This window comes from Homo sapiens, chromosome 18, assembly GCF_000001405.40.
Source record: "Homo sapiens chromosome 18, GRCh38.p14 Primary Assembly".
NCBI classification, from domain to species: Eukaryota; Metazoa; Chordata; class Mammalia; order Primates; family Hominidae; genus Homo; species Homo sapiens.
In genome coordinates, this window is record NC_000018.10 from 8073798 (window position 1) to 8099269 (window position 25472).

Sequence of the window (25472 nt, forward strand, 5' to 3'; positions counted from 1 at the left end):
CAGAAGGTTGAGGTGAGAGATCACTTAAACCTGGGAGGTTGAGGCTGCAGTGTGCAATGCTAGCCCCACTGCACTCCAGCCCGGATGACAGAGCAAGACCCTATTTCCAAAAAACAAAAAATCAACTTAATCCAACTTCATTTTAGGAATGAGGCAAATGTGACCTAAAGAGGTTCAATGATTTGTCCAAATTGCACAATTTAATCATTTATTAGTCTTAAGTCAGAACCCGGGCCTCCCATATGAATCAGCATTTTTTTTGTGCCAAACAACACTTGACTTTAATTGGAATAACTGTAAATGTTCTACATTTATATATAAGTAGCCTCTAATCTCAAAAAAATAGGCATACTATCTATGAGTCCTTTTGAAATCCTAGGCAGGCTTTCCAATCTGTGGTAGTCTTAGCAATCATTAAAAAACTGCTCATATCCTCTCACAATCTAAAACATTTTTTCCAACCCCTTTTAAAAAAGTTTATTGAGATATGTTTGTCCATTCACCATTTGATAAATATTTGGGTTGTTTTCACTTTTTGGCTATTATGAATAATGCTGCTATGTATATTCATGAACAAGTTTTTGAATTAACATTTTTTTCACTTTTCCTGAGTACATACCTAGGAGTGAAATTGTTGGGTTATGTTGTAAATCTACCAGTGTTTAACCAATTGAGGCACTGCCGGAGTGTTTTCAAAGTAGCGGCATGACTTTACCTTCCCTCCAGCAGGGTATGGGGTTTCCGATTACTCTTCCTTCTTGCCAGCACTTGTTATCATGTCTTTTCGTTATAGTAATGCTAGTGGGTATGAGGTGATATCTCATTATGGTTTCGATTTACAGCGCTTGCTAGCTAATGATACTGAGTATCTTTTCCTGTGCTTATTGACTATTTGTTTGTCTTTTTTGGAGAACTGTTTATTCAGGTCCTTTGCCCATTTCTAATTGTACTATTTGTTATCTTATTATTGGGTTTTAATATTGTTACTTTTACAGTCTAGATACAAATCTCTTATATATATGATATGCAGAAGCCTTCTCCCATTCTGTGTCTTGTCTTAATAGTGTCCTTTGATGCCCAAAAGGTTTTCATTGTGATAATGTACATTTTATCTAGATTTTCTTTCATTGCTTTTGCTTTTGGTGTCATGCCTAAGAAATTGTTGCCTGATCCAAGGTCATGAAGATTTATTTATATGTATGTTTTCTTTAAGAGTTTTATAGTTTTGGTTCTTACAGTTAAGTCTTTAAACTATTCAGATTTAATTGTTATATATGGTGTGAGATAGAAATCCAACTTCATTCTTGTGCATGTGGATATCCAGTTGTGCCAGTAGCATTGGTTGAAAAGATTAATCTATCCTCATTAAATGTTCCCAGTACTCTTACTGAAAATCAATGTACTGCAACTGTAAGGGTTTCTTGAGTACTGGGATTCTCAGTTCGATTCCATATCTATATCTATCTATCTATATATATATATCTTTATCTATGTAAAGATATATATGTCTCCTATGCCAACACCACACTGTCTTGATTACTGTAGCTTTGCAGTCAGTTTTGAAATCAGGATGGGTGAGTTCTCTCCGACTGCTTATTGGTCATTCACTTCATCACCAAAAAATGTGATCATGTGCCCCAAAATATATGCATATTTATAAACAGGATAGCTATTTTGTAAATAAGATAGGCATACTAGTACACTAAATTGTCTATAACATGAAGCATACTAAAAAACTACATTTAAAATGATGATGGGATAAATAACATTTTATAATGATATTGAATATTATTTTATAGAAAACTGGCAAATGACATCTTCACTTTTGTTAGTTTTTTTGCAAACTTATAAGAAGGTGTTATGTATTTTAAGTTTTGAAAAATGGCATCAAACTTCCCCCAAATCACATATAGTATTAACAAATAAAATAATGTTTAAAGACTATATTGTTATTTCATCTATATCAACTTCTACTTTGTATGTATTTTAATAGATATATTAGTACAGTAGTTCATATATATTTTTAGCATGGTTTTATCATTCAGTGTTATGGTTATAACTTGAATCCATGTGATATATAACTGTTACTTACTTTCAATCTTTTCAGTATTTTATAACATAACTTACTAAACCATTTGACTTGTTTCTCATTTATTATTATTACAAAAATCACTGCTTTGTGAACATTTTTGTATATGTCTCCTGGTGCATATATGCGAGAATTTTACTAGGGAATATACCTGCACGTGGGACCATTGGGTCATATGTTCTGTGCATCTTCAGCTTTACTAAATGCTATTAATAATTTTCCAAGGTGGCTCTACCAGTTTACACTTCCACAAGGAGTATGTGAGAATTCTCATCACTTGAAATCCTTCCTCATTTCTTTTGGAAGAGTAAAAACGTTTATTTAATAGATGGGACTGAGCTCTGTCTAATTGATTAAAACTTTTAAGAAAAAAAATGATAAAGTTATTCTTTTAATCAAGACAGTGTAGCTAAAATTGTTTAAGATTCCAGATTTTTAAAGAAAAATTGAGTATATGTGTGGACTATTAAAATCTTTTCTCTCAATAGAAGGTTAAAACCAAGTCTAGAAAAATCTACTTTTTAATTGTTTATTACTTAAACATTTATTTCCTCCCACCCTCCTTTAGTCCCAGGTGCTGTTCCCACTGAATCCATACAAGGAAGTACCTTTGAAGAGAAGATATTTCTTCAGTGGAGAGAACCAACTCAAACATATGGTGTAATCACTTTATATGAGGTAATATATATGTTTGTTAGTAATTTTTAATTAGAAATACTCATGATCATGATAATGTAGGCTATCTAGTATTTAAAAATGCATACTTACATAATATATTTTAAGAAGTTTAATGCTTTCAGTAGTTATAATGGTTGTTATATAGAAGAAAATTGTAAAAATAAGTTTTTGAATTATATATAATTTGAGGATTTAGCTTTACAATGAGTTGGACCTTTCCAGATTATATGTTATTATATGTTAAGACACAGCATTACATTTAAAAATTACCTTTATTAAAAACAATAAGTATTTTGAAACATGCATTGATTATAAGACAAACACAGAATTCTATTCTTGCTTAGCTATTAAATATTTTACTACTGAATTATAGAAGGACACTGATTATCCAGTTAGCAAAGTCAATAAATATTGTCTCAGGACTAACAATAGAATAATATCTTTTGGTTTCTTAGTATTACCAAAACATCCTTTCGACTTCTGTGACATAGTTTTGTCTACTGAGGCATATCAAATGGTTGAATGATAGATAGCAGAGAAGAATTTGATGAATTGTTCAAGGAAAAAAGTAACAGCAATAACAGGGTGACATTCATCATCACATCTGTGCAAGCATCATTTCACTATGCCTATTGTCATAGAAACAAGCAGGTGTGTTTTTTTAAGCTAGCATTTATTTGAATGCAAATTCCACAAAATTATATGTTGTAAAGTTTCTAAAAATCGTGGCAAATTCTCATATGGAACCTCTGCTTGAATACCTTTCAGAACTACTGACAAAAGCCTGTAAAGATGAGCTGTCAGACAGTGATCACCAGTAAACCCCTTCCCTGACCCAACTAGCCTCACATTTATGTTTCCTTGTAATTTTTGAAAATTGGTATTGAAACACACACAAAAATTAATTCAAAGCTAAGCGAAGAAAGATAAAAGAAAAAAGTTGATTTTTGTACTGTTATTGATGCTGTTCATTGGCTGCTTCATTGTAAAAGAATTGAATATTATGAAAATTCATGGCTCAGCTTTTATAGAGCTAAGTGTTATAAACAAATCAAACAAGTTCATATTATTTTTTCTCAGTGATGAGAATCTTTTAGTTTTTATTTTTGGCCCCATTGCCATTTTTAGGTCTCAGTTTTGGGGGATTTTTACCTAGTAACAGGATTTTAAACTAGGAAACATGCAATCTTTGAAATCAACTTTAATTTCCAAGCCGTAAGTTCACCTGTCCTAAAAGCCACATGTTGCTATCTAGACAGACAGAAAATATTTAACAGATTCTTTCTTTTTAATCCTACAAGAGATATATCTCTGTGTGGTAAGTCACTTTAACATGAAAACAATGGGAATAATAATTCAAAGGAAAAACCCATTAGTCTCTCTGATTCTGCAGCCAGGACTACCCAGTTGAACACTGATCTAAATACTACTACAATGGGGATGCATGAATGTGTCATAAATCAGGGTTTTAAAAATCAGATATGTGTAAGTAGAACAGATTGGTTCAGTTTTGTAGGGACCAAAGGGGAAATATGTGATCCAGGCCAAAGTGATTAAATACAAGCTTTCTGGCCAACAAGTCTTTCTCCCTTTCCCATGTTTTCTACAAGTAGGAAGGAAGGGAGTCCCCAGCTCCCTCGAGGTAGGTCTTAGGTGGAGTCTCAGGAGGAGCTCTTCTTGAGCTGAAATGCACCTGTGAGCTACGATTCACCCAGCCTATGCCAGAGTTTACAACAGGCACATACAGCTTCCTCCCGGAGCTGAAGATACATGTTGACCCAGATTCAGTACCTCTCTGGAGAATCACAGACTTCTGAGACAAAATCACGCTAAGGAAATCAAACACTTGCCCCAAAAGAAGCAGGGACCATGGCAACATTGTTTTCTGTCATGGAGTCACATTTGAATACTGGTAAAAATCAGAGGGTGAGATAAATTGCCATGGTTGGAAAAAAGTTTAGTAACCAATGACACAGGTGTTTCTTTAAGGGAGGCAGCACACAGGATAATTTTTGAAGGAAAGAAGAAAGCACAGATGGAATATTGTTGATGTTTGTATTAGGCCGCTCTTGTTTGGCTATAAAGAAATGCCAGAGGCTTGGTAACTTATAAAGAAAAGAGGTTTAACTGGCTTATGCTTCTGCAGACCGTACAAGCATGGCACTTGCATCTGCTCCAGGCGAGGGTCTCAGGAACCTTATGAATGTGGCAGAGGGTGAAGGGCAGCAGGCACGTCACATGGCGAGAGCAGGAGCAAGAGAGAGCAAAGTAGGGGGTGCCACACTCTCCTGTGAACTCAGAGCAAGAATTCACTCATCACCAAGGGGGTGGCCCAAAGCCGTTCACGAAGGTTCTGCCCACATGACCCAAACACCTCCAACATTGGGAATCTCATTTCAACATGAAATTTGAAGGGGACAAACATCCAGACCATATCAGTGCTGGAAATGAATATGCTGTAGCTTTAGATTATTCTCTGTTCTCTCTTTGCTTATTATGAAAGATACACAAAAGCATTAATGATCAAAAACGGCTGACAGCATTGTTTTTTCCAGGAGTTATGGCAGTTCACAGCCTTACATCATTCTTCTGGTTTTCTTCCTTGCTTTCTCCTTTTCACTCCTCTGACTCCATTCTCAGCCTTCCAGCACTAGCCTTGCCTCTCTGACCTTGTCTTCGTTCTGGCTCAAGTCCTTCTCGTACGTTACCCTCCACCTCAGTCATTTAATTTTGTCAATCATCTTCCTACAACCTGGGTCTGATCATTACACCTTTACTCAGTAGCTATCAAAATCTCTTATTTTGTCGAGTTGTCAATTTAATACTGCCCTCTGAAAGAATACTTGTAAGTGCAGAAGTATTCAAAATAAAATATCCTTGCTTCCGAATTTTACTTTTCAAATGTAACTACTATTAACAGCTAGATACACATCCTTCTAAAATTTTACAAGGTAGAAACTGTAGTGCAAATTCATTAATGAATATAAAATGGATGCAGTTTAATAAATATTATCAAACCCAGCATTTTATTACAAGAATAAAATACCATATGAGACTCCCACCTCACATCATACAAAAATAAACACCAGATTCATGATCTAAACACAAAAGTTTAGAAGAACCTTCTAAGAAAAAGGTAGGAAGACATTTTTGTTATATATTTTTCTAAGCTTGATATAAAACTCAGCAGTCATTAAAAATAAAGATTGACAGATTTGGTTATATAAAATTTTAAACTTCTGAATGATGAAAGATACCATGAAGGAGGTCTGAGTACAAACAGAAGACTTGGAGAGATTATTTTCAGCACTTACAGCAGTCAACAGGCTGGTGGCTATAATATATAGAGACCTGCTACGTAGTAATAAGAAAAAAACAAAACACTCTTTTAGGAAATAAAATGGACAAAGACACTTCAAAAAAAAATTCACCCAGCATGTAAGTATATGGTAAAGTACCTACCCAGCCTTACTAATGATTGAGAAATGGAGTATTACAAGTGATACAGAAGTTTAAATTTCTATAATATCAAGTGTTAATCAGTGATGTGGAGAAATGTGTACATGCATAGTCTGTTGATGGGAACACACATTTTGCAGTCTTTTTTTTTGTAGGCAATTAGGGAGATTCTATCAAAATGTAAACATAGTATGCCAAACCTATTTCTAGAAGTTTATTAGTAATACTCCCCAATGTACAAGGATATTTGCCCAAGTATTTTCATTGTATCCTACTAACTTTACATATCTCTAGTGAGTAAATACCAGACTCCTGGTCATGAGACTAACACATGGATTGTTTTAAAAGCTTTAGTATGTCTGAGATATTGGAAAAAGACAAAAGTAGAAAAGGTACTGTTCCTTTTCTGTTGAAGTAACTACCCCATCAGCAACCAACTATAGAAAGAATGAAATGAGTTCCAAACTTAGGGACTCAATACATGAGTGTGTGACTAGAGTATCAAGTGCAGTTTTGGTTGGGCACTTTAATCAAGTAGAATGGTCTAGATTTGCCAGCTGATTGGGACATTCAAGAGTCTAGAGTTGAAGACACCTTAATATCCTTAGCCTGGATAACTGGGCTGTTAGTCACCATCAGCTGAGATAGGTGGTTATGTAGAGGGAATGAGAATTTAGGGGCCATGTTAAGAAGTTTGTTTTCAATACTCAAGGGCTTCTGTGATCCAACCCAAATCTATATTTATAACGCCATCTCCTACTATTTTTCTTCTGGAACTCAATGAGCCATGTATATGAAATTGTCTCTTCGCCAAGAGCCTTCTGAGCCATCACACACCCTGCTTTTGCTTAGATTCATTCTGCCTGTGCCATCCCATCGCTCTCCTCCTATAGCAGCTCTGCCTATCTTTCAGTATTTTATTCAAGTACTTTACTTTTCCTTGAAATATCCTAGGTCCTTTCCTCCCCTAAAATCAGATTTAATTATTCATTCCTTTGTTTTCTCAGAATAATTGCTTAAACCTCAATTAGAGGATGGTGTTTTATGCTGGCTGGAATTACCATCAACTCACAGTCTAGAAGATTTTGATTCCCCTCTTCTATAACATGCAAGTCAAAGATTGCATGTTATTCTATCTTGGTTTCCCATGAATCTCTCAGTTTAGAATTTGAGGCTTTAAGTAGAGAAAGGGAAGACAATTTTGGAAGATTTCAGGCACTTACCTGCAAATCAGAAATCATCCAATAGAAGCAACAGTTTACTCCATCTCACCCAAATCTAACCCTCACACATGATGTTGAGATCTCAGTTTGCTTTTGACATGGCACCTCCCATAAAATTACTTACATCCAACACTGCTGCAGCAACGTTTTTTACAGAGGCTTCATTACAGTTTCCTGGACCTTCAGCCAGGGACAGAGTACAAGTACAGAAGCTTCCAGACTTCCTTCTTGTAGTTTGCTGCTGTACTGAAGTACTTAACAGGCACTTAATAAGCATGTATTGAATGAACAAGTGGAAAAGTAAAGCTGAAACCATATGGACATTTGAGTTTGAGCATGGGAGTATATTTTGGTGCCCTTTAGAGCAGCTGCTGAGGTTGGTGAATGTCTACCATCAGCTCTGTGGCAGGCAGTGGGGTTGTAGAGTTAGAGTGCCCCTGCTGCCGAGAAGCTTTTCTCATTCTGATATTCAGACTCCAGGGCTCTGTGGATGGGTCTGAGATGGGGAAACCCATCACCTTTGTGACATTTGGTGGACATATACATGCCCAACATATTTGTTTGTTAGGCGTGAGGGAGAGGATCTGTAATTTTTAGGAGTGCATGAATTAGTGTATACATGTGTTTTTTAGAAGTAGGAAAGAGAAGGTGTCTAATTTTTACCAAATTGTCAAAGGGCTATGACTGGAAGCCAGCTAAGAACCCCAGTGTTATTTTGCAGCCACAAGGCTTTCAGCAAGTCCAAGCCCATCAGCCCTGCTGGAACAACAAGTCCCTTAGTAAAGCGTTTGCTTGATAGTCTCTGTGGGTGGAGCAAAGATCCCACTTGTCTTGAGTGTTTACATGAGCGGATGCACACACCCGCTCTCCCCAGGAGTAGTTTTAGGAAAATAGATACTGAGTGCCAAATATTTACTGATCACAGTGGGATCAGGAAAAGAATAAGACATCAGTCACTCCTCAGAAAGAAGATACAATTACATGAAATGTTCCAATTCCTCTGGTATATTTAAATCATGATTTAAGATCAAAGAAGAGATTTCACAGTACTCCAAGATTCATTGCCCAGTGAATTGTATGAATAGTCACAACACAGGCATTCAGTGGATCTAGTGATTGTTAGGCCAGGTTTAGGAAGGCTTTACAGATACACAGAATGAGAACTCTGGATTGGGACATGGATGGGTACTTTTTTTGTCCCAGTCTCATCTTTGGAAACCAACCCTCCCTCCCTCCCTCCTTTTCTCCCTCCTTCTCTCCCTCCCTCCCTCTCACCCTCCCTCCCTCTCTCCCCTTCTCTCTCTGCTTTTTTTTCATTTGGTTTCTGTGACAGCTTTCTCTCCTTTGGCTCTCTTCTTGCATTTCTGGCTCTTCTGTTGGCTTCTCCTCCTCTATCCTGTATTAAATACCTACATTCATTAGGGAGTGGTACCAGGCTCCCTTCTTTTTTTTCTAAACTTCCTTCCCTAGTGACCCCCTCCATTCCAGAATTGAATATCATCTCAATGTTCATCACCCCCAGTCTTCACTTCCAGCCCAGTCCTTTCAAATCACAGCTTCATGTCATACATGTGTGTCCACCTGACTGCCGTGGGCATTTCCAACTTAGTATGTCCACCTGTGTCTGTAAATTTCTCCTCATATGTTCCATTCTTTTCGATACATGGGACCGTCTTCTGATCAAGCCCAAAATGGAACCTATCCTTTATTCCATCCTCTTTTTTTTATATCCAGTCCTTCACTGAGTTCTGTCCATTTTATCTCTAAAAGATGCCAATTCTTTTCATCTCTTGCTGTCTGTACCAGCCCCACCTTATTCCAAGCCCCTGTATTTTCTCCCTTGTGCTATAGCTCTAGGCCCTGGACTCTGCTGTACTTCCTAGTGCCCTCCCTACTACTTCAATTGCCCCACCAATCAAATCAACCTTCCACCTGCAGTCAGGGTGAACTCTTTATAAGGGAAATTAGATCATTTTATTTTCATGCTTAAAAACGTTCAAGGGCTTCCTGTTGTATGTATCCAAACTTTTTATCTTGGGGTGCAAAGCACTGTACAGTATGGTCCTACCCACTTCTCAAGCCCCCAAGGAACCACACCGACCTCCTTTCTGTTCATATACTGTGCCCACTCACTCCCGCTTCACTGCCTTAGTTCCTACTGTTCTTCCCCAAACTCTCAGCATGATTAACTCCTTGGGAAAGTTCAAATCTCTTCAGCTTAACTGACATCTCAGTGGGCCCTTCCCCAGCCACTCTAAGTGGCTGTGTAATAACCTCTCTCCCCTGACAGTTCTCCTTATTTTAGCACCCTATTCGTTTCTTCCATGGAACTTGGTGTTTTGAAAGTATTCATTTACTTACTGTATGCCTCCCCAGCTCCATCCCACCCTGTCCAGATTCTCAGTTATCTGAAACAGGGCGTGTATTTACCTGCTGGCCATGGTGCTTGCAGAGTGTCAGTGTTCAATCAATGTTTGAATAAAGTAAATGAATCTGAATAGGTAGAAAACATGGAAACAGAGCTAACTGTCTCATGTTCCAGGCAGGTGAAAGCTTACGAGCAAAAGCAGTGTCAGAAAAGCCCCATTAGTGTTTGTAGGGCAGTTAGTCTTTATCCTCTGACCAGAACAGAAAGGAATATAATGGTGTAGTATCACAGATTCAGAAGTAAGTTTGGAGAAGGTGAGAGCAAAACTAAGGAGTTTGGGCTTTCTCTCGTATGCATTTATGTTTCATTAAGGTTTCTAGACAGGCAATAAAATGAATGAGAACACTAAGCTAGCCACGGTGGGCAGCGTCAGTCCTCATTTTAATTATACTTTGTCATAGTTGTTGGATCACTTCTCCCCTTCCCCTACCAGACTGATACCTCCTTCGGGGAAGGTACGATTCCTAAAGCACCATGCAAGACCCCAGCTCCGAACACAGTGCTTGGCACATGAGAGGGGCTCAATGAATATGTTTCAAATGTGTGGGTGAATTAGTGAGTAAACATTGGAAGCAATTATGCATTCATAATAGAGGTTTAGATCCGTCTCCTCCAAACTGCCTTGTTCCCTGGAGGTATCCGAATGGAGGACCAAGTAATCATACAGCGGTTACATCGCTGACGTCCTTCGCTCAGCCACTAGGGGGTAGATTGGCTTTGTCTCTTCTTGACTTCCTTAACCTTGCAGAGGAAGTCTGTTAGAGGATTAACAATAGATACTCTGCATGACTCCAATAGTGTCATGCAGTGCAGTGATTAATATATATAGCAAACAGTTTTCTTGCTAAAGCTTAGTTGATTCAATCTAAATATTCTTTCAGAGAGGTCTTCCTAATTGTAATGACATGGTATAAATATAAGAAGAAAGAATGTCAATTATCACTTCGTATAATAACAGTGTTAGTGTTCATGCACATAAATTACAAGTAAGTTTACCTATTTAAAAGCAAGAAAAGTGCTCAGTTTTGCAATTTAAAACTTTCGAATATGCCACATTTTAAAATTATGTCATTACAACCAGTAGAAGTTAGTAATCACCACTAAAGTGCATGTTCTTGAATAGTTGATGAACTACTCATAGTGAAATTCTTTAAAATATCATTTGAAAGGGTAGGATTTAAAGGCACCTATGTTATATTTATTTTCAAACACTTCAGACTCATCCAACATGCTTTGAATATCTGTTATGTAGCTAGTATCATGAAAACTTCTAGAACTGCACTGTCTCATATGGCAGCTACTAATCACACATGGCAATTTAAATTCAAATTTTCAGTTCCTCAGTCTCACTAACCACATTTCAAATGCTCAGTAACCAGATGTGGCTAGTGGCTACATTTCCATCATTTCAGAAAGTTCTATTGGAAGACATTGCTCTAAAGAAAAGAAATTAATATGACCCATAATGATCACTCTATTTGTAGCATCAGGAATGACTGGAATCTGTCTAGGATTCCAGTCATTGGAGCAGATGTCCTCACCCACATTGATGAAAACACTTCAGTGCCCTCGTTCCCAATAGGTAATGATCCTAAGTCAAATTATGGCCACTAGATTAAAGATGAGGCCTTATCCTTGTCAGTATCTTATCTGTTTGAGCTAGTTGTATATTTTCTTATTTTGTTCTAAACCCATTGTAATGTAGTTTTACAAAATGACATTTTGAAAGCAAACAACTTCAAAGTATTAGCTTAACCCCGAACTCATCCTGTATATTCTAATCTACTGGCTTAAGTTCCCCTGTCTATAAAAGTAATAACTCAGCAGCTTTGGCGGAGTTCCTTCATCCCTTCAGTGGATTCAGGATTTCAAGAGTCTGAGTAGGAGCTTATCATAAAGTGTCTGACAGTGCATACATCAGAAGGGTTTATTGGATAAAGATGCAATCTGAGTCCATCTGCTCCAGATATTTTATCACTTTCTCATTCTTTTGCAGATCACCTACAAAGCAGTCAGTTCCTTTGACCCAGAAATAGATTTATCCAATCAGAGTGGAAGAGTTTCAAAGCTGGGAAATGAAACCCATTTTCTGTTTTTTGGACTGTATCCGGGGACCACATACTCCTTTACCATCCGAGCTAGCACAGCTAAGGGTTTTGGGCCTCCAGCAACAAACCAGTTCACCACCAAAATATCAGGTACTCTACATTCGTGAGTTGTGTCTTTTATCAGAAGTAACATTTTTGTCCGTTTTCATTCCCATTGTCAAGTATGCCAAGCTCGCCCACACTAACATTGTATCCAAAGGAATACTCCTGGATGCCTGAAGCTCAGACTCACAGCTTTAAATGAAGTACTACAAATATTTCTCATTTGGGAGCTTAAGATCCTCACATGTTAGGAAGTGGCTATTGTTTTAGCAGGGCGTCTTGGAGGACTTGGGCATGAGGCAGAAGGTTCTGTTGAGACACTCTCATCCCCTTGTCAATCCCAAGTTGCCAGAGCAGTACTGTTGGAAAAATCTCTGTAATGAACCATGAACCATCGGGAGCTCTGCAGAAAGACAGTCATATAGAGTCTGCTTCCTGAAGGATCAGCCTCCTTGGGATCTCTACCATAAGAAACTTCTGTCCTGAAGAGAGAGGCAAATACATGAGGGTACCAGGAACTGAGGGCCTCCAGCTTTTTGCTTTTAGAGACTTAATTATGCCATCTAACAAAAGACGTAATTTGAGAAATATTTCTAGGCATGTTCAACTGTGCAGAAAATGTCTTTGTACTTCAGACTAGAGGAAATTAAGCTGCCATCTGGTATGGGATATACAACAGCAATAAAAAAATTGCATGAATATTTTTTCCCATTTTTTCCCCTTTGGGTATGAGTGTGGAAGTGTTGAGTTTTGGCTTTAACTATTTTGTTTGGGGTGGAGCAGGTGGGGTGGAAGTAGGGAAAGGAGCTAACTCTTGTTATCAGCCATGGTTAGGTCAATAATATTTAGCCTGACCTTTATATCTTTTATCTCTCATTCCTTGTTTTGTATTAATAAAAGTTATCATTTGGAGTTGAAGGAAAGGAATATTCACAACTAGAGTATTGTAAGTGTTTGGCTAGGTTTTGAGGGAGGGTTTAGAATTTTCTTTTTAAGCAATTATAACAAGGGATAATTTTTTATTGTGTAATATTTTATGAGCACAAACTTGACTTGAAATTTAATACACTTGATATTCTGTGTATAGAATTAGGTTATAGAAACAGTATGGAGAGTTGAGAAAGAGAAAATAAGTCTTTGGGAAGTTAGAATAATTAGAGATTAGAAAACTGACACAGATTGAAGAAAATGGGTTGGTAGAAGAAAGACCACTGGACTTGGAATCAAAAAATCTAGGTTCTAGTTATGATTTTGCCAGGCACTTCCTCTCTGATTTTGATCAAATAAATTTACTCCTACATACAAATTAAGATAATATTATCTAGCGCATGAATTTATCATGGGGATTTAAAGATGAAATAAGTGCCAATATATATACCTCGAAGCATGTTTTAAGAAATTTTTCCCATGTAAGTTACACTACAAAGATTATTGTCATAATGAGTGTATTTTTTGAATAAAATAATTCATTTTTGCTATTTTTATTAGATAAGAATTCTGATCAACATGGCCGTATTAGTCCGTTCTCACACTGCTAATAAAGACATACCCGAGACTGGGTAACTTATAAAGAAAAGAGGTTTAATTTACTCACAGTTCAGCATGGCTGAGGAGACCTCAGGAAACACAATCATGGTAGATTCTAATCAATGGTTTTGACCACTTTCAGCATGCCAAGTTCAAATAATTTTATTGAAAATCAAGCAACCTGACATTTTCATTAGCCTATATGGCTCATCAAGAATAAGTATTTGATTTTTATAGTCTTAAAACAGTTACAGTTTACAGGTCCTGTTTTCAATTTTCATGGACCTAAGAGAGGGAACCACTCTTGTTAATTCTATGTTATGAATTGGAGTTAATTTTTAAGAGAATTGAAATAAATTTTAATGCTGAGATCATTCAATAAATGGAACTCAGAAGTAACCCATATCTGTTATAAACAAATCTTTTTGTATATGTAAGACAATTTTAAAAACTGTATTTGCAAGAAAACGACCTCTAGCTTTCTCATCAGGAGTCTCTACCAGTGGGCTGTGAAAATATGGTATGCCCTCCCACATCACAGCTCCGTGTAATGATTTGTCTTGTCCGTAATTACTGAAGACCTCTGTTGCTATCATAATAAGACTTAACAGTCTAGAGAAGGAAGATGCTGGAAACTGGCCTTAGAAATAGGATTTACATTGGGAGGAGAACTAACATTTGTAGAATTATATTTGCCTGTCTCTCTGTTCTCTCTTTGAATTACGATAATAAACGTAGAGGGTAGTTCCCCCCATTTTGAGATGTATAGAAGCTCTTATGCTAATTAAAACAAAACACAGCAAAAAGTCAAACCCAAGCCTTTCTTATTTCAGTTCCTATGTGTTTTCCACTGTCATGCTTTTCTGAGAGCCCACAGATTGTCACTAATTAATTCCAACAAATCTCTCTGACTCCCACTGTCCTCTTTAAATCCCCAATGAGTCTGGTACATGAAAAACCTTGATTTAGATGGAATAACTATAAAGTCCAATGATTATTTCCTAAATATGCCTTTAGCATAAACAGTTTATTTGAGAATTCATATGTACAGAAAAGTGTACCAATTGTAAGTGTACAGCTCGGTGATTTTTCACAAGCTATGCTCATTTAGCCAGAATCCAAATCAAGAAACAGAATATTACTCACACCTTAGAAGCCCCCTCATACCATCTCCCAACTTCAACTCAAGATCACAGAGGACAGTATGGGCTGCTTTTAGCAGCTGTCCCTGTGATTCTATGTAGGGAATATATGTGAAGCTTGCTCGTGGTTGTTGATAGCTGCAATGTAAAGTAAATGCACTGTGTTCTTAATGCTCTTTGTAAAAGAAAGTGGAAACTAAACTGAGAAGATAAACCAGAAATAATGAGTCTCCCATTCTACGCCTTTTTCCCCAGCACCCTCTATGCCAGCTTATGAACTTGAGACACCTTTGAATCAAACTGACAATACCGTGACAGTCATGCTGAAACCTGCCCACAGCAGAGGAGCACCTGTCAGGTATGGAACAGAGGGTTGGGCCGGCTCTAGATAGAAGAAAACTAAATCAAGTTGATTAATTCCTCCAATGTGTTTTCTAGGGATTTGCTGCAAATCTCAGCCAGCATGTAAATCCATATGTTTATTAGCTCTAATTAAAAGTAATGACTGAGGAAAATGAAAGGGCTTTGATGTAAGGTGATCAAGTATTGTTTAAAGGGTTTTATTCTGATGCAAGTGAGTTGTTCTTTTGAAGATAAGGAACAAAGCACTAGTCTGTTGAGGAGGTAGTTTTAAATTAAAAGGTGACTGCTTGATGCAATTTGGTTACCCAAGGGCAGATGACATTTTTGTTCTCAGCTCTGTTCTTTGAATGGATGTTTCGATTTTTTCATTTGTGTGTTTACTTTGGGTTTTATGTCATTTATTTTTTAGTAAATTGGCTAATTTCTCAATAAAATATGAGATGTATAGTTTTTTGAAAAAATAACAGATTATTGGAAAGAACATTGTGAAGTCTTTATCTGAACAGATTAGAGTTAATTACCAACATCTAGGCCCGCATCTTATTCCATGATGATTTATATAGCTAAGCAATTATAAAGTATAACTTGTATAGTGACTGAATAAAATAAATTGATTATTTCCACGACAGAGCAAAGGATGCCTGAATAGCTCTGGAGTATCAACTTGTCATAAACTCATTAATCTACATAAGTGAAATTTCTACTTGATTCAGAGGGATTTAAATGTTTTACCTTTGTATTTTGGAATAGTTTCCCTTCAGAGTCATCTATTACTTTGAATAGAGTACTTGGAAGAAAGATTTACATTGACAATTAAGGCATTATAGGGTTTATTTTCATGTTTCTTTTGTAGAATTTGATTTCATTAATGTTTTGACACCTGGCTATATTTGATCATGTTTTCACTGCAGTATCATAAGGCAATCAGTTAGATTTCTTTCTATTCAGTAAAATATATATGGAGGTTTCGGTTCATAAAGTCATAAGTAAAACCAGAATAGTATTAGTTTTTAGTGAAGTCAGATTAGGGAAGAGTCACAGAAATTTTTATTTGAAAAATCTCCAAAATGTTTAAAACAATTTTTAGTTTATACTGTAGAATAATGCAACACAGTAGCTCATATGAGGTTTCATGCTTGCTGTTCATAGATGCAGTTTGTGAGAATACTATGAAATATATAAAATCTCTATTCCAAATTGGAGATAGTGTTACTGCTACCTTTCGAGTGATGTGCTTGACACTCCCCAGGCCCTCTGGGTTGATTCCTGTGGGTGGCACTGAGAGGTTGCACTAATCCAATGGACCCAAGGCACGCATTAGATGCTATCCAAGACTCAAGTGTACCCATGACCATGGCTCAGTCTTTTTTGACTTTAAAAGCTGAAATTTATTAAATGAAAATGTATGCTCTGACCATGGCCTTGGGAGTGTCATTTGTTTCTGACCCACTTAACAGTTGCTCAGACTCAGCAATAAAGGGTCATTGGGACAGGACTCAATATTTTACTGCAAAGCATCATGATCATGTGAATAGTTAGAGTTCACTCAGATTCAATGCCTCCAAACTGAAGGAAGCTGAAAGCTTAATCATTTTTCAAAAACAGCCAGTTATCCCATGGTACTTTGTTCTTATATGGATACCTTTTGCACATTTTCTATACTTGTATCTTACTTTCAAACCCTTTCAGTTGGATTTTCATTCGCATCTTTGTATAGATCTTTCCAAGACCAAGTTTTGTTGGTTTGTTTGTTTTTGAGATGGAGTCTCACTCTGGTCGCCCAGGCTGGAATGCAGTGGCCTTATCTCAGCTCACTGCAGCCTCTGCCTCCCAGGTTCAAGCGATTTCTTCTATCTCAGCCTCCCAAGTAGCTGGGATTACAGACGTGCTACTGCACCCAGCTAATTTTTGTATTTTTAGTAGAGACAGGGTTTCATCATGTTGACCAGGCTCGTCTTGAACTCCTGACCTCAGGTGATCTGCCCATCTTGGCCTCCCAAAGTGCAGGGATTACAGGTGTGAGCCACCATGCCTGGCCAAGACTAAATTTTAAAATAATTGCTCTTTGCGCAATATACCTGCACCCCTTTCCCAGTCCTCTTCCCTAGTCTTTACAAGGTGCCAGGCACACTCCAAACTACTGTTCCTATTTCTAGCATATGCCTCACTAAGACATTATTTTGTTGTTGCTTACTTTTACACATGTCTAGTTGTTTTTCGGAGACTTTGGGACCTTACTGGTAGTTCTTGGTGTCCTCAGGCTTCCTATTCTTACATCTATAAAAATACAGATCCAAATGCTTGTCAGAGTCCAAAATACATAACTTTCACTGCAGACCTTACATCATTTCATCACTTTGTATTGCCTCACCCTCTTTTACAGTTGTCATAACATCCCGGTTTCCAAGTTCAACACTGCTGTGCTTTTAGGAAGGGTCATGTCAGTATTGGTGAATATGCTCCTTGAATTTGCCAGGGGCACTTTGCATCCAGTCTCTAATACCTTCTTCCCCTGTTAGCATCTTGAAATTAATAAATATATCCATGTTCATTATTCACATCTGTAATTTTAGAATCATGATCAATCCTTAAGGGGCATCATTCAGTAAGCATTATGGGGAAACCTGCTATAGACATCATCTTTATTGGAAGGATGCCTATCTTAAATGGGTAAATCGTGTTGGCACAAATTTGAGAGAGGAAATTATTTCAACCTCACCTGTCGAAAAGATTTTTTTTTTTTTTTTTGCAGAAAAGTGAATGTTGTCTTCAAGGGATTCATTATATAGGACAACATAATTGGACTGATTATCTGTAGAATAGATGGAAGACCAATATAGCGAGAAAGACTAGGTTGGGGAAAAAAATGTGTATAGTACCCTCTAACTAAATAGGGCATATTAAAATTCTCAATTTCATGTAATGTTTAGACAAATAAGAACTCTGATTATGGAATCGTATGGACCTAAATATAAAGCCATAATGTAAATTAAAACATTTGAACACATCTGGAAATCTGCAAAATGCACATGTAATCAAACTGCAGTACAAGAAAGCTTTTCCCAAATGATAAGATAAATACTAGAAGGAGGAGGGAAATGGAAGCGAACATCTGTTTGCTTTCCTGGATTTTGCACAGTATTGTGTGTTCAAAAATACTGTCATTGTGTGATTTCCAAAACCCATTTTTTTCAATTGATTTGATTTTTTTTTTAATCCGTATTCATTGATGTTGAAAATTCAGTCGAATTTCGTTTATGCACTTCACTAAGTAAGGTGGTCATGTATTGATTTCCCTACAAACACTCAGCTTGGTTCATGTAGATTCTTGAAATTGCACTAAACTCTCAATGTAAATGATTGTTGTCTTTTTATTGATCAACACATCAGCTCTGTCACATAAAATTATTTAAATCCTGAGATGGCCAAGAAGAACACAATTCCATCATTCCAGCCAGTAAACTAGCATGTAGGAGAGAATTTTAATGTCTGTTCATGGATTCAAAGTTTTTTCATTAATAAGATATGGAAAAGTGTAACTTTCTTTCATTTATTTATGTATTTATTCTTTTTTTGAGACAGGTTCTCACTCTATTGCCCAGGCTAGAGTATAGTGGTGCAATTGTAGCTCACTGCAGTCTTGACCTTCTGAGGCTGAAGCGATCCCCCTGCCTCAGCCTCCAGAGTAGGTATTAGAGACAGGATGCACAGTGCCCCTGGCAAATTCAAGGAGCATATTCACCAATACTGACATGACCCTTCCTAAAAGCACAGCAGTGTTCAATTTGGAAAGCAGGGCACCTCAAATGTGGAACTGAAGCCAGAGAGAGATTATTATTGCTAATGAAAGTCTGTCCCAGCACTTTGGGAGGCAAAGGTGGAAGGATCACTTGAGGCCAGGAGTTTGAGACCACCCTGGGCAATGTAGCAAGACCCTGTCTCTACAAAAAAGAAAATTAAAAAACAAAAACAAACAAACAAAAAACATAGCGGAGCATGGGTATGTGCCTGCAGTCCCAACCTAGGCATGGTTGTGTGTGCCTATACTCAGGAGGCTGAGGCTGGAGGATTGCTTGAACACAGGAGTTCAAGATCAGCCTGGACAACATAGAGAGGCCCAACATAGACCCTCTACCAAAAAAATTTTTTTTAAGAAAGACAGGAGATAATCATGCATTTTTGTTTTAAAACGTTTCTCAGAAATTATGGTTGTTGGCATACAAATGGTTATGGTTTAGTAGTTCAAGGTTATGAAGCATAAAGCATGTTTTTTTTTTTCTCAAGCAGCAGCAACCCATTTGTTTATCTCACTGTCCGTAAGTCCAAGGAAAGAGATGTTCAGTCCATTAACACTACCTTCCTAGACATCCTATTCTCTTCTCCACGCTAGGAGCCTTTGAGCATGCCAACCTCATGGGGTTCTTGTGAAGACTAAATGAGGTGATATTATTTAACACTTCAAACCATGCTTTGCACATACTCAGCACCATGTAAGTGTTTACTCTTGCCTTAGCAGTAGTTCTCATTACACGTTTCTATTCATAAGACCAGCCCTGGTCCTCCAGCATTTCCTTTTTTCGTCTCATTTTATTCAAATCTGATATCATGAAAAATCTAATTTTACATGAAAAATATAATTATTTCCTCTATCAACAGAATCATAAATAGAATTCATATAAATTCAGATTTCTCTGATGAATCTTAAGTTTGATTGCAAGGAGCTACCAGTTTATTTGTGCATTTGCAAGTTTTCAGGAATTGATCTTATAAATAATTAGCAAACTCCCCTGACCCCAAATCTATATAATAACTCAGAAAAAAAAATGGATGTGTTTCCCTATTGATCCCTGAATCATTATGTGATTGTGGTTATTATCAGCTTAACTGAATAAACTTAGCCATAAAACAAGCAAAACGGTCTTCTGTTTATAACCACTCTAAAAGGAAATAAACACTTGGCAACATAGTAAATTTCACAATGTGCCATGGGTATGAAGAACCAGTGAGATGTATTACTTACGTAACTTAACAAAGCCTAATGTTCTAGTCACCCTTTAAGTATATGAATCTCTTTCCACTTTATTAAAAAAAGATATTTGTGATTTACATGCCATTTTATAATAATTCAGTCCTTATAATTATGTTAGAATTCACTCCCCAGATTCCAGAATTTGTTCTTTTAATCAGAATAGGTTTGTTCAAGAGTTTGATCCTGGCTTAGAGGAGCCAGCTAAATTCTATTATTTATTCAAAAAAGTTTATCCCTTTATAGTATTTTCCTGCTGGAATGACAATATTATTTTGAGAAACAAAAAACTTATAGTGTAAAACCTTGCAATGCAAAGTTTACCTTAAGATATAAATATTCTGGCCAGGTGCAGTGGCCCATGACTGTAATCCTAACACTTCGGGAGGCCAAGGTGGGAGGATTGTTTGAGCTCAGGAAGTCAAGGCAGCAGTGAGCTGTGATTATGCACTCCAACTTGGGCAGCTGAGCCAGACCCTGTCTCAAAAAAAAAAAAGATATAAATGTTTTGTAATATAAATTTTAAAGTGGCTTTATTTTAACTTAGCCTATTATAAATCAATATAGGGGCTAGACACGGTGGTTCAAACCTGTAATCCCAGCACTTTGGGAGGCCAAGGTTGGAGGATTGCTTGAGCCTGGGAGTGCAAGACCAGCCTGGGCAACAAATTGAGACCCTATCTCAATTATAATTAAATTTTAAAAATTTAAAACAAAATATAAATAAAATAAATCAATATATGGTTTCCAGATCTAAATAATGCTTACTCTAAATTAATTAGAAACTACTGAATCCATTAATAATTAATACAACTATTGCCCCTAAGATACAAGATCATATCAAGTGTCGCACATAGCCTTTTAGACAGAATTTTTCATTCTTCCTTTGGCAAATGTTAAGGAGGAAACTTCTAATATTCAAATAATCACTCACTTTATATATCACATAAATTATGGGCCTAATTTTTAAAACGAGTGCATGACATAGAGAAGGACACATTTTGAAATTAGATAAGCATAGTTTCAAATCCAGGCTCTCTCCACTTGTAGTTACGCCACTGTTAAAAATTCCATCTTAAGGTCTCTGAGCCTGGGCTTGCCTGTCTTTCCACAGCAAGGATAATACCCCTTATATCTTACAGCTGTGCTAGGATTGGATTTGTTAAATACTCATGAGGTTCAAGCACAAGGTGGTGCTAAGCATTGGGGATATGGAGGAGGCTGCTAAGGGCTCTCTTCTCCAGGGGCTGGCAATGTAGATTGGAAAGAGAGCAACATGGAATCTAGTGTCCTGTAGTAAGTAGGGATGAGGATGGGAACCAGTGGCCTGACCAGGGAGTGGTCAGTACAGGGAAGAGTCAGCTAAGACTTCAGAGAGGAGGTAACCCTGGGGCCAAGTAGCTGAATCTTGACAGACGGCTGTTGTTCAGAGCATCTGTGTGATGTGGAGTATGTTGCCAGGGAGGTTAGATATGTGGCAAGGAATAAAAAAATGAGAGAGACAGGTTGGCTCCATGAAGACAGGGAGGACTGAGTTTGGCCTGATCTGAGAATGAGAAGTGTGTTATAATCAGAGAGAGGGGTGGGATGGGAGAAGAAGCAAGGGAGATAGAGGATGAATTGGACAACCTTGTACTCCATACCAATAAGTAGCCATTCAAGGGATTCAGGTCAGGGAAAAAATGTAAGGAAGAGCTGCAGCAGCAATGGAGGATGGGTTAGAGGGCGTGCGGCCTCAGAACAAACTAATAGGAGCGGCATAAAGGCTGGAGGATGTGCTGGGCCCAGTTAAGATAGAGCTAACCCTGGCGGCATGGAGGAAGGGGGTTTCATAAATGCCAGATGCTGATTTTCATTAGAAATAGGATTTAGAGAAATCAAAAACACTTAGTCCTTTTTAGAAGGAAAAAAAGAGAATATATTGATGTTAAAAATACTGTCTGGGGTATTGTTAAAGTGAATACTAGAACGCTTGAAATTGAAAAACTAGCCTAGCAATGACTTTCCAATAATTCATTGGAAATCACTAATTATATAAATATTTTTAAACCCCAATTTTCATAAGCAGTAAAAAGTTGTTCTTAGTGTCTCTTGTTTGGAAGAACCTTCTGGATCTTTCTTTTGTTGCTTCTCCTACCTTCCTTATATTGCACCTTAACCCCTTTGCTGTGGGCCTGTGTCCATCAATTTTGTGACAATGACTGTACGTGTTGAGGTGTTACCATGATGCCTACTCAGTGGATGTGGGTGGCACCTCTGGTTACTAAAAGCTAGAGTGTGAAATGCTTCTCTCGGCTTCAGAAGGCATGCCAGCAGCACACTTAGTGGGTGATTGTGGCTCATTCTTGGCTAGGGCCGGGGAAGACCTAAGTTTTTTATCATACTGCTTTGCTATCCCCAAAAGAACCCATGCCTGTCCCTGAAAAGGCAAATATTTGAGTTGGAACTACAGACTCCATGAAAGCTCTCGAATGTCCTTCACAGTGGAGGCCACACCTTGCACATTCGTGGAGGCGAGAGCCAGGTTGTGTTATGCGTTCCCCTCTTATTGACCAGCTGCACAGAAGCCATTCGGCAGGAAGGAGGGAGACATTAAAGTCTACTTCATTTTCCATTGACCGTAGAGAAAGTTACATGCTGTTTCTTTTCCCTCATCTAGATAGACCGTCTTTAAATGTTAATAGTGGAATAAATTAGAAATAGTTTCAATTATAAACTCAGAGCACTAAAAGATTGCAAATGCCTGCACTGAACAATATATTACTTTACGAATTGTAAAGCTGCTCTGCCATTTGCTCTCGGGAACCCTTGGGTCTTCTTAATCACAGTTATTGATTTAGGGAGTTTAAGGGATGAACTTCTAGAGGTGTTCCAAGCTAGGGCTGATAGCCTTTCTTGGAGAGGATCTTGGACATTTTGAGAAAGATTAACTGATTTGACTATAGATGCCTCACTTTCACATATGTGAAATGTGAGGAAAGGTTGCAAATTCCAAGAGACTGATAAAGTCATGTGTGATCACTAAGCCGGTATGCTTCTTAGAGCCCTAGACTTTTAGAACTGAGGACGACCAACTCAGAAGTCCTGACCACATTCCTCATGTTACATTTCTGCTTCATCCTATTTTGGTGGTGGGGAGAGGAATGAGGGCACAGATACAGAAGGAATTATGTTTTACATCATTCTCTTCAGCAGGGCATTTTATCAACCAGCACTTATAAGTATACTCAATGTAACTATTTATTATAAGAACACCAGTGTACACAAAAGTGCTAATATGCCTTCTATTTCCTTAATAACTATTTTTTAAGTATATTATATTATGCTTGTGAGGCTTACCTGTATTTCATTGCAACTTAATTAAATTAATATTCAGCTCTTCAATCAGACAGTAGAAAGATTAGGGAGTGGTTTTGGTGTTTTTTCCCATATAATTATGTCCCTTTTGACATGTATGTATGGCCCAGTTCCATCTCATCTCTACTTCTACCTGCTAAGTGTTTTCCTGTCCTGTATCAATGTATTTTCCACTCAATGAGAAGTAGTAAGAGCTCTGTCCAGTTATTAGTACCTGGTTAAAATCCTGGCCCTTCATAGCATTGAAAAGTGTTGTAGGAAATGTTAGGATTGACACTTGGCTACTGTTCAGTTATTCTTCATTCATTCACCAGATATCTACTGAACACTTATTGTCTTCATGTCATTGTGCTAGGGTTGTGATAAAAGCTGTCTAGAAAAGTACAGGGTACTCTAAGAGTATGTGACAGAAGGATGAAATCTCAACAGGAGAATCAGGAGTGTCTTACTGAGAATGTGTTACTTAAACTGAAACCTGAGGAGGAGGTAGGTAGATAGGTTCACCAAGTAGGAGAGCAATCAGTAGAAAAGCCTAAGATAAGAGAAGTTAAAGAGACCTAAACAGTGGTCATCCTAGTCAACAAAATTAAAAACACACAAGGTTTGACCATCACTCAGGAGCATTAATTAGATTTACATGCAGTTGTGCAGAGCATAAGGACATTTCATTCAACAGACTGCGTATACAGCAGTGGTCCTGAAATATTATAATACTGTCTTTTCATTGCACCTTTTCTACATTTAGCTTTAGGTTTACAGATACTCCCCACTGTTTTACAGTTGCCTACAGTATTCAGTAGAGTCACATACCATATAGCTCTGTAGCCTAGCAGCAATAGGCTCTACCATACAGCCTAGGGGTGTAGTAGGCTGTACCATCTAGGGTTTTGTAAGTGCACCGTATGATGTTTGCACAAAGATGGAATGGCCTAATGAGGCACTTCTCAGAATATATCCCCATCATTAAGTGACTCATGACCATATTTAATGTTGAGAGTGAGCATTTCCCTAGGCTAAACATTATGTAAAACATATAAAAATATAATCAGAAATGCAAAATCATTTGATCACAAAATGATTTTAATAATTTAGTTTTTGAATATCATGCAATACCTCTAACCTAATTAAGAGTGCAATAAATGTTTATTGAATGAACCTCATCTTTTTCTTGCCAGCAGTAATAATTATCACCTGAAACATTTATTACAGATAAGAAGACCCTAGACCTTCATTTAACTAGTGGGACATACCAGGAACAAGTGGAGTTTTAAATTATATTTTCATCCCTAAATAAAAGTTAAATATCATGAACCTTCCATAGAATGCAGAGCTATAAAAGAACACCCTGCCTTTACCTTTGAAGCAATCTTTTTTTTTTAATAAGAAGAGTAATTGAGAAAGATTGCTTCAAATAAGCCATTGCTATAAATTCAGATCCAATCAGGAAGGTCACTCCAATTTGCAGGCTTATACTGACTCCTGCAAAAACTTGTCTTCTCACCTCTTGAGGACAGTGATGACACCCCCTCCCCTCCTTTTCGCTTTACCTTCCATCCCCCACAATCACTGTCTTAGTTCATATTTGTCTTTCTCAGGTCTCCAATCCCCATTCACCCTGTGGCTGCAGGGTCTTTCCTCCCAGCTTAATAACCCATCAGTGTCTCCCTATTGCCTTCAGCATAAATCCAGACTTCCTCTAATGGGGAAGCCTCTGGCTTCTACTCACTTCCTGGGGCAGCCTCCCTTCCACCTGTAAATATTTGCCTGAGAATATCCTGGGTGGTTCCATGCCATTTTGTGGGTTTATTTTGCAGCTGATGTTTCTTTCATGGAATCTTCTCTCTTTTATCTTCCCTCTGTCCTGCCTGCACACACACACACAGTCTCTCCACAGTCTCTTTCTCTCTCTCTCTCTCTCTTTCTCTCTCTCTTTCTCTCACTTATTTCCACTCCCCTCCTAGCTATGGCCCAGATGTCACCTCCTTGGAGAGCCCACCCTGGCCCCCTGCCCATCTGTGTCCTGCAGCTCT

General features: G+C 37.6%; 1 protein-coding gene across 36 annotated transcripts in view, besides 2 other annotated features; it reads left to right on the top strand.

The window, feature by feature from the left end:
* PTPRM (protein tyrosine phosphatase receptor type M) overlaps positions 1-25472 on the top strand; it is an 839541-nt gene that overhangs the window by 506482 nt on the left and 307587 nt on the right. For all 36 annotated transcript variants that reach the window (XM_011525708.3, XM_047437715.1, XM_011525712.3 and 33 more), the window contains 3 exons: positions 2658-2767; positions 11874-12075; positions 14952-15054. In XM_011525708.3, coding sequence (XP_011524010.1) covers positions 2658-2767; positions 11874-12075; positions 14952-15054 — 415 coding nt within the window. The remainder of the gene's footprint in view (positions 1-2657; positions 2768-11873; positions 12076-14951; positions 15055-25472) is intronic.
* Positions 10259-11125: an enhancer, noted in NCBI's record as "OCT4-NANOG hESC enhancer chr18:8084054-8084920 (GRCh37/hg19 assembly coordinates)". NCBI's record gives its function as "activates a minimal SCP1, AML or CMV promoter by ChIP-STARR-seq in naive H9 embryonic stem cells {active_cell/tissue: H9 hESC(naive)}" and the evidence as "EXISTENCE:reporter gene assay evidence [ECO:0000049][PMID:30033119]".
* Positions 14992-15540: an enhancer, noted in NCBI's record as "NANOG hESC enhancer chr18:8088787-8089335 (GRCh37/hg19 assembly coordinates)". NCBI's record gives its function as "activates a minimal SCP1, AML or CMV promoter by ChIP-STARR-seq in primed H9 embryonic stem cells {active_cell/tissue: H9 hESC(primed)}" and the evidence as "EXISTENCE:reporter gene assay evidence [ECO:0000049][PMID:30033119]".